The 9,714-nt window shown below is 56.1% G+C and overlaps 1 annotated feature.

The window, feature by feature from the left end:
• Window positions 1,353-1,647: an enhancer, noted in NCBI's record as "tiled region #9451; HepG2 Activating DNase unmatched - State 8:EnhW, and K562 Activating DNase unmatched - State 20:ReprD". NCBI's record gives its function as "activates a minimal TATA promoter and a strong SV40 promoter by Sharpr-MPRA in HepG2 and K562 cells {active_cell/tissue: HepG2 | K562}" and the evidence as "EXISTENCE:reporter gene assay evidence [ECO:0000049][PMID:27701403]".

The following is a 9,714-nucleotide window of genomic DNA, read 5'->3' as shown; positions in this document are numbered from 1 at the left end:
TTTTTTTTTTTTGAGACAGGGTCTTGCTCTATTGCCCAAGCTGGAGTGCAGTGGGTGATCTCGGCTCACTGAAACCTCTACCTCCTGGGTTCAAGCAATTATCATGCCTCAGCCTCCCAAGTAGCTGGGATTACGGGCATGAACCAGCATGCCCAGCTAATTTTTGTATTTTTAGTAGAGACAGGCTTTCACCATGTTGGACAGGCTGGTCTCGAACTCCTGACCTCAAGTGATTCACCTGCTTCGGCCTCCCAAAGTGCTGGGATTACAGGCTGAGCCACCGCGCCCAGCCTACAACTCAAATCTAATCCTGTCATCCCCTGCTTACACTGTTGTCCCCAGGCAAACCTCAGCCCCTCTGGCCCAGCTTTGTAGATGACAACTGGCCAAAGTCCATGTCTCCAGCTTTCATCTCCCTGTTCTGTGGACACTAAAACCCATTTGCCAAACATATCAAACGTCTCTTTCGCCTGAGGGCTTTCCTTATGCTGCTGGTTCTGTCTGGAAGTACCACTCATCATCCATCTTTTCTGTCACTACAACCTTTTTTTTTTTTTGGAAACAGTGTCTCACTCTGTTGCCCAGGCTTGAGTGCAGTGGCGCGGTATCTTGGCTCACTGCAACCTCCGTGTACTGGGTTCAAGCGATCCTCCTGTCTCAGCCTTCTGAGTAGCTGGGATTATAGGCAGTCACTACCACACCTGGCTAATTTTTGTATTTTTAGTAGAGACGAGGTTTTACCATGTTGGCCAGGCTGGTCTTGAACTCCCGACCTCAGGTGATCCGCCTGCCTCGGCCTCCCAAAGTCCTGGGATTTCTACAAGTGAGCCACACGCCTGCTATACAACCTTTGGGGTTTGTTATAGGTCCTTCAGGGGTTAACTTAGAAGCTGTCCCCTCTTCCCACCCCAAGAGCCTTGGATAGGGCTGATGGTTCCTCCAAGCCCCAAGTCCTGCTGAACACTACTGAACACTGGATTTATTTATTTATTCATTTATTTAATTTGAAGGCAAAGTCTTGCTCTGTCGCCCAGGCTTGAGTGCAGTGGCATGATCCTGGCTCACCGCAACCTCCGCCTCCTGGGTTCAAGCGATTCTCCTGCCTCAGCCTCCCGCGTAGCTGGGACTACAAGCACTACCATGCCCAGCTAATTTTTTGTATTTTTAGTAGAAACGGGGTCTCACCATGTTGCCCAGGCTGGTCTCAAACTCCTGAGCTCAGGCAATCCACCCGTCTCGGCCTCCCAAGGAGCTGGGATTACAGGTGTGCGCCACGGTGACCCTGAACACTGGACTTAGAATGCTCTAGTATTGCCTGCCTGCTTCTGCCTCTTGACTGGGCTTCCTCCAGGCAAAGGCAGGTGTTCCTTCATTCTGAATGTCAATCAACATATTTAACCACCTGCACCACCCTTCCAGGCCATACCAGCTAATAACCAGCCCCGCCACTTGGTGGCAGCATGCAGCATGACGCAGATGAGGCTGGGGCCTGGCTGTGGAGTGAACGACCTTTGCACACCTTGCCCTGCATCAACCGCATGGCTGTTTCCCTTGGGAGCTCTTAGTGGGAGGAGGAGCTAAGGCTGGGAAGGGAAGCAGAAGCTGAGGTTTTGGCAACACAGATTCAGGAAGTTGGGGAGAAATGAGCCCAGAAGCTCAGAATGGGTGGGGTGCAGGGCCTGAGTTGGGACACAGAAGGCTAGCCCCAGGTCAGGGTTTGTGCCCCCATAAGGAGCTCCCACATGAGGCCCCGGGACCCGCCAGCAGCAGCAGGTCTTTTGCACCATCTCCCCAACGCTGTTTAGGCAAGGGGTGAACCTGAGGTCACCCAAAGCCTCCAGCCGCTCTCCCAAACAGCCGCCTACCACGGGGGACCCAGGAGGCCAAGTCAATAACCCGAAATCATAAAATCTCAAAGGCGTCGAGCATTTGGAAGGAGGAGCAGACGCAGCAAATGGGGCCTTTTCCCAGGCAGCTCGTGTGGAACAAGAGAAACAGATTTACGAGCGTCTGGTTGAAGCCAGGTTGGGGGGCGGGGTGGGGATGGGGGGTTTGGTGGAGACGCAGAACGTTTCTAGTGCACAGGAAGGATGATAAATGGGAATGAGCTGCACGGGCTCCATGGCTGTGGTTTAAGATGCGTGAAATGCAGGCTCTCTCTTTCGTGTGCTTTGTTACAGATTTGGAAGAACATAAATGTATGTATCAGTGTTTCATGGACTCTCCCAAGACCTGCAAACTCCGGTCCTCCTTCCTCTGAAAGGTGGGCCATCTGAGAGCGATGTTGGACATGGGTGTGTACCGGGGAGCACGGGCTGGTTGCCCATCCTTGGCCCTGAACTTGGACTCCCAGATGTAGCCACATGGCCCAGACCTCCCCCCGACCCGGCGGCACGGCGGCTTGAGAAAGGCCTGCCTCTGAGTCACAGGCAAGGCTCTAACGCTGTCTGTGGACTCTGGACTGAGACCCACAGGCTTGAAGGGGAAAGGGCACCCAGTTTACAGTCATGTTCATGCACACGCACACCTGCACACGCACACACCTGCACATGCATGCCTGACCACACATGCCTCCACATGTACACCTGCACGCACATGCCTGCACACACGCTTGCAAACGCACACCTGCACACACAATCTGCACACGCACACCTGCACACACATGCCTGCACACACACGCTTGCAAACGCACACCTGCACACACAATCTGCACACGCACACCTGCACACACATGCCTACACACACTTGCACACGCATGCCTGCACACACACTTGCACACACATTTGCACACGCACGCCTGCACACACATGCCTGAACACACACACCTGCACACTTAAACTCTTCCTGGTGCCAGATTTTGTCACAGGGAAGAACAAGGAGCCAGGTTCTCTAGAACCATCCCTCCCTCCAGCCTGTCTCTTGAGGATCAGTTGATTTATGGGGTCAGGGTCTCCTGACCCATTGGGAAACCTCCCTGCCTGTCTGTACCTTCCAGCACAGTCCAGGAGATCTGTGGGGTTGATGTCAGCTGCTCAGACACCCTCAGCTGGTATGAGACAGGTGGAAGTTTCTCAGGTCTGCAGCAGCCAGGTGGGGGGAACAGGGAGAGAGGATAATCCAGCCTGATCACCCCAGGCTCTGAAGGTCTCTCGGGGGAGGCCCCTGCCGGCTCAGATCTGTGGAAATGGGTTAGAAAGGGTCAGAAAGCCCCGGAGATGGTTGCCCCATGTCCACGTCCTGGGTGCCATGTCCTTGGGGCAACACTTCTCCCTTTTCAGCCACTACTGTCCCACCTGCCCTTTCTTCAGCCAGCCCCAGAGGGCCCGGGGCTGTTCTCCAGTGTGCAGATTCCAGGGACTGGTGCAAGGTGGGGTGCCCTGGGGGGCCACAGGGGTACAGAGGCTGCAGCTCTGAGCAGGGCTGGGGGTACCCTGGGAATTCAGCCCCCGCCTGCACAGGGAGGAGCCCTGGGCAGGTGGCCCTGTGAATCGATGTCTTCCAGGAGTTTGCAAACCTTCTGGCCCTGCTTTCGGGAGCCCCAGGGGATAGTCATCTGACCGCCATGGCCAGCCTTTAGAACTCCAGTCCCGAGGGACAGAGATGGGCTTAGGAAGTGTTCTGCAGCTCTGCCTGGCTGTCAGCACACCATAAAGAATGAGAAAGCGCTGCAGAGCCCTGCCATCTTGCACACGCACTGCGGGGGTGGAGGCGTCCTCCTGCACAGTCCCCGCGCTCCCTCCCCTCGGCCCTAGAGTTAGAATCCCTTCCAACTGTGGTCTCTGGTCTATACCTCAACCAGGGGACCAGTGCGGGTGCCTCAGCCCAGGACCGCCCAGCGGCAATATGACCACTCCAGTCCTGAATTTCTAGAGCTGGGAAGGGCTACCCTCCTTTTCCATCAAACCATCCAGGGCCAACGTGCGACCTCGAATCACCCTCCCTGGCTAGGACTACCCAGCCCCTCCGTGGCCTCAGGCTGTCTGAGAACTGCCTTTGACTTTGTTTCCTGGAGATGGTCCTGAGGGGCAGCCCTGGGTCTCTTGATCGTTTCTGGGAATATCAGGGTGAGTGCCATCCCCTTTGCATTTGCTACAGAAAGTTCTGGGCCTCCTGAGGACTTTTCTGTCCAGCTCCATAAAACAGGGTTTGTTTTTATTTTCTTGAGACAGGGTCTTGCTCTGTCACCCAGGCTGGAGTGCAGTGGTGCAATCTCAGCTCACTGCAGCCTCCATCTCCCAGGTTCAAGCGATTCTCCTGCCTCAGCCTCCCAAGTAGCTGAGATTACAGGCACGCACCACTACACCTCGCTAAGTTTTGTATTGGTAGTAGAGACAGGGTTTCATTATGTTGGCCAGGCTGGTCTCGAACTCCTGAGCTCAGGTGATCTGCCTGCCTCGACCTCCCAAAGTGCTGGGACTACAGGCGTGAGCCACTGCGCCTGGCCCATAAAGCAGGTTTTTAACTAGAAGATTCACAGAGGGACTTTGGGGAACTTACTGAATTTTGCATGTATCTGTACAGATGTGTTTTTTTTCTTTTTCTTTTGGTCTGGGAAGAGCCCTGAAGATCAGCAACCATAGCTGAAGGAGGGAGGGACAGACAGGCCCTAGAACTGCAGCCAGGGCCTGGCACAGCCTTTCCAAGTCCAAAGCTATAAGGCCGGGTTCAATACAACTTCCCTTTCACCCCAGGGGAAACTGAGACCCAGCAAGATGGGGACTTGGCTCAGGGCATACACCTGCGCAGAGGAGAGCTGGCCTGGAAGTCCAGCCTGGGCTGCAGTTCTCAGGAGGGCTGGGGATACCCTGAGAATTCAGCCCCTTCCTGCACAGGACAGCAGAACACTTCCCACCTGTGTCCTTAGCTGTCCTGGGAAGGTCTCATCGGCAGGTTCTGGGGTGGAATGAGCCTCCTGTAAACCCTAATATGCACAGGTACACACACACATGCAGACGTGCATATAGACATATACACACATGCACACTTATGCTCATATGCACACATCCATATAGACATATACACACATGCACACACACAGACACATGTGCATATAGACATATACACGCATACACACATGTATATATGCATACAGACATATACACACATGCACACATATACACATATGCACATGTGCATGCACACACATGCACACACTCCCCCTCAGCGTGCAGCAGAAAGAGTGCCATTTCCCCAGCAAGCTCGCCCACCGAGCCCTCGCTTGCTCCTCTGTGGGTGTCTGGTCTCCCACCCCGGCCGCAGCAAAAAGCTCCATGAAATGATTGATGAGAAGCCGGGGGCAGGGAGAGAGGCCGCAGCAGGATGGCATGGAGGCCGCCTCCAGACTGGGGCATCACCTGGAAAAAAATCACAAGGCTGTAAACACAGGCAAACAATAGGGAAGACGGGCCCTGGGGCTTCATAAAGAGCGTGCGGCCGGGACAGAGCTCAGGGCCCGCTTGGCTCGGGGGCGGCTGAGGGGACGGCAGACCGGGGGCTGCTCCGGGCTTGGCTGGGACGGACGTCTCGGACCATGGCTGGCCCGTCCAGCTCAGAGTTGGCCGGGAGGCCTGGCCTCCGCACAATAAACAACACAGAAAGATAAATTGAAAATGTGTCTGGAACTGGTGGGGAGAAGGGAGAGGTGGGCAGGGGTCACCGGGAGGCCTGTCTCCTTCCTTGGCCACTGCCCCCTCTGGGAGGAGGGCCCAGAGCTCTGGTGGGGAGGCGCAATCTTGGACCCCACAGGCCTGCTGGGGGTTGGAGGTGGTAGGCCCAGAGACAAGATGCCTTGAACATGTAGAATCAGAGAGGGCCTTTGAGGAGAATTTCCACCTGGAAAACTCCAGGGGTGTGTGAGGGCTCTGCATGGAGTTGAAGTGCTGGAGGGCAGAGAGGGGGGCCTCAGGCCAGGGCAGGCCGGCCTTGGGGAGCCCACAGACCCTTCTGAGCACGCCTGTGGGCCTGGGGACACAGTCTTAGACCGGACAGCCATGTTCCAAACCACAGGGTCTGGGGGCCGCAAGAAAGTAAAATTCCATACTTTTTGTTTTTGTTTTTGAGACAGAGTATCGCTGTGTCACCCAGGCTGGAGTGCCCTGGCGCGATGTCTGCACACTGCAACCTCCGCCTCCCAGGTTCAAGTGATTTTCCCACCTCAGCCTCTCGAGTAGCTGCTCTCATCCTTATTTCGCCCCTGGGTCACCCTGACTCAGTCTCAGAATGTCCCCCCTCCCCTGGCGACCTCACACACGCAATGCCACCTGCACTGCCCCAACTTCTCGGCCTCTACCCCTGGTGGATGCTTGCTCTTGCACCAGCACGCTGGACTTCTCGCCTTGCAGGTACAGGCCCTGAATAGCCCCCATCACCTCTCCTGCCAACGTGTCCTCCCAGGAACCGCTTCGGTTGCCTGGGCCAGAAGCCAGGGAGCTGAACTTGACTCCCACATCCTCATGCCCGCTATTGCACCCAAGAAATTCTTCCTCCCCACCTGTTCCCCCAGCAGTCCAGCACCCCATGCAGTCCAGGCCTTAAAGCAGTCGCCTCCTCACAGGCCCCCGGCCTGCCCACCAGGCCACCTCAGCCAGGAGGATCTGTGGGAAACACTGGGTTGCCCCCATCAGACGTCAATAACCCACGCCTCTCTTTGCTTCCCAGGTGCCCTCAGCTGCCCCCAGACCCTGTGGTTTGGGACATGGCTGTCCTGCCTAAGAATGTGTTTAATCTTTAAGAAATGTCTCAAAAGTATGGAATTTGGGCCGGGTGTGGTGGCTCACCCCTATAATCCCAACACTTTGGGAGGCTGAGACGGGTGGATCACCTTGGGGTCAGGAGTTCGAGACCAGCCTGGCCAACATGGTGAAACCCCATCTCCACTAAAAATATAAAAAATTAGCAGGGCATGGTGGCGCACGCCTGTAATCCCAGCTACTCAGGAGGCTGAGGCAGGAGAATCACTTGAGCCCAGGAGTTGGAGGATGCAATGAGCTATGATTGCACCACTGCACTCCAGCCGGGGATACGGAGCAAGATCCTGTCTCTTAAAAAAAAAAAAAAAAGGAAGTCAGAATGGGAAAGAAACCCTCATGCTCTGGGAAGGGGTCTGAGTGAGGAGACACAGCTCTGGCCCAGAAAGTCTAGTCTAGTGGGGAGGTGGTGGTGTGGGACACAAGGCCATTCCCTAAGAAGCCCTAGTCAAGGGTGGCAGCTGGGGACAGGGACCCTCAGAGCCTGGGGAGAGATGTGGTCCCAATCCTCAGGCCCCACTCATCAGGCCTCCCTGGGAGGGTCAGCAGGCATGGGTCTGGCTCCAGGTACCTTCAGCTCCTGAAGGGCCAGCTGGCACAGGCATGAGCCTGCATCCACCCGCAGGAAGCCGGTGCCCGGGAAGTGCCAGAGGGATGCCAGGCACAGGGCCAGGATCAAGGACAGGGTTGGCCCTGCCAACAGCTTCAGGGCCAGGGCTGGGTGTGCCCGGTTCTGGTCCCTGCAGGGCTGCTGAGGAGGGCAGAGGGCGAGGGCCTGTGGCAGCTTGTAGGCAGGAGGGTACCCCCTGTACCCGCAACTCAGGCAGCCACCTCTCTCAGGTCAGGGACTTCCAGGACCACCTACTACCCTTGCATTCCCACAGGGGCACATGAGTGGGGCTTCTACAGGCTGGAAGGTCCCCAATCCCTGCTTGAGGATGGGCCCCAAGTGTTCCACATTGAACTAGAATCTCTGGAAGAATGGGATGCAAAGTGACCCACTATGTGCTTTCTCAGCCCAAATCATTGCTTACACTACCCTGGTGGGGAATGGCGTCACCCAGCTTCGTAGACGAGGAAACGGAGGCTCAGAGAGGGTGAGCATCTTACTCAGAATACACAGCTAGGAGACGGTAGGGCTTAAATTCCAGCCCACGCCATCCTATGCTCTAGGCTGCCCCGGAGCAGGCTTCCCTGGGGGCAGGAGCCGGGTTGCCTCCATCAGACACTGATAACCCATGCCTCTCCTCGCCTCCTAGGTCCCATCAGCTGCCCCCGGACTCTGTGGTTTGGGGCATGGCTGTCCTGCCTGACAATGCGTCTGATCTTCAAAAAATACCTCCAAAGTACAGAGTGGAGGAATGAATGAATGTGTCCCCAGGGCCCCGTTAGACCAGTGTTGGACACTGGGGCCACAGAAAAAAGGAAACCAGGCTGATGCCTGCCCCTAGGAGGTTTTTGTTTGTTTTTTGTTTGTTTTGACATGGAGTCTTGCTCTGTCGCCCAGGCTGGAGTGCAATGGCACAATCTCTGCTCACTGCAACCACCACCTCCCAGGTTCAAGCGATTCTCCTGCCTCAGCCTCCCAAGTAGCTGGGATTACAGGAACGCGCTACCATACCCACCTAATTTTTGTATTTTTAGTAGAGACGGGGTTTCACCATGTCGGCCAGGCTGGTCTTGAACAATTGACCTCGTGATCCGCCCGCCTCAGCCTCCCAAAGTGCTGGGATCACAGGTGTGAACCACTGTGCCTGGCCTAGGAGGTTTTATATTGGTGAAGAAGACAGGCTAAGACCCAAATCGGTGCCCCCAGTGTAACAGTCGATGTGTCACACCGGTGTCACATGGGTGTCACATGGGTGCACAGCAGCCTAAGTGGGCAGCCTCGAGGGGGTGGTCAACTCCCTCAGGCTGGCAGGAGGTAGGGAGGAGGTGTGAATGCTTCATGGAGATGGGGATGTTTTAGCCAAATCTTGAGAGAAGGCTATTCCAGGCCTGGGCTGCAGGGGCACTGCTGAACAGCCAAGACTTTCCAGGAGTCACCTCACCTGGAAGGCAGGTGAGGTGCACAGGGAGAGGGACCCAGAGAGCACCGATGCCTTAGGGGCCAAGACTCCAGGAGCCTTGACTATGCGGCTAAGGAGCTGGAACTTTCTCTGCAGTACACAGGAAGCTGGGGAAGGGCATCAGGCTCAGGGGACACAATCATACGGTTGGACTTGCCACTTTCGCACGCTCACCCTGACTGCCGAGGGGTTTGGACAGGCAGGGTGAGCCTGGTGGCAGGGGATTCTGGCAGAGGCTGGTGCAATGATCCCAGTAAGGGATGGAGAGGTCTGTGCTTAAACACTGCCACGTGGCTGCAGGGTGAGAGCGAGAGTGAGAGCGAGAGACAGAGATAGAGAGAGAGAGAGAGAGAGAGAGAGAAAGAAAGAGAGAGAGAGAGAGCACAAGCTGTCTGGAAAATTGTGAACCAAATTTCATGATGGAGTGGAACTGAAAGTCAGGGGGGTGGTTATAGAGGGCTGCCTGGACTCTGGGGAGACTTTCAGTTTCACCTGCTGAGATGAGACACCCAGAGGATCGGGGGAGACTTGCAGAGGATGAGTGACTGGGGCCACCCAGTGGGATATATTTGGGTATGTGGACCTCCATTTACCTCCTCTCACCTAGAAAGTCTCCCCTAAAACACCCACTTACTGCCAGTCCCCAGCTCCCCTTTCCTACCTTAGATCTCATCTCCTTCTCCTCACCTCTTGGTGGGCGCTGGGCAGCAGGGGAGCCAAGCCCAACCCCGGCCCCAGAGGCAGCCCCAGAGGCCTCACTCCCCCTGCTCAGTGAGGCTCTGTGTCCAGACGCCAGCTGCCTGCTCAGCCCCATGGCTGGCTGCGGCTGGCATGGACCCAGGGCTGGCTTATGGATGGTGCTCCAGGCACCCAGGCCCACTGGCGTGGGAGTTGTGCCT

Source organism: Homo sapiens, chromosome 7 (assembly GCF_000001405.40).
Source record: "Homo sapiens chromosome 7, GRCh38.p14 Primary Assembly".
In the NCBI taxonomy this organism is placed as follows: domain Eukaryota; kingdom Metazoa; phylum Chordata; class Mammalia; order Primates; family Hominidae; genus Homo; species Homo sapiens.
This window is presented reverse-complemented; position numbering and strand designations above follow the sequence as displayed.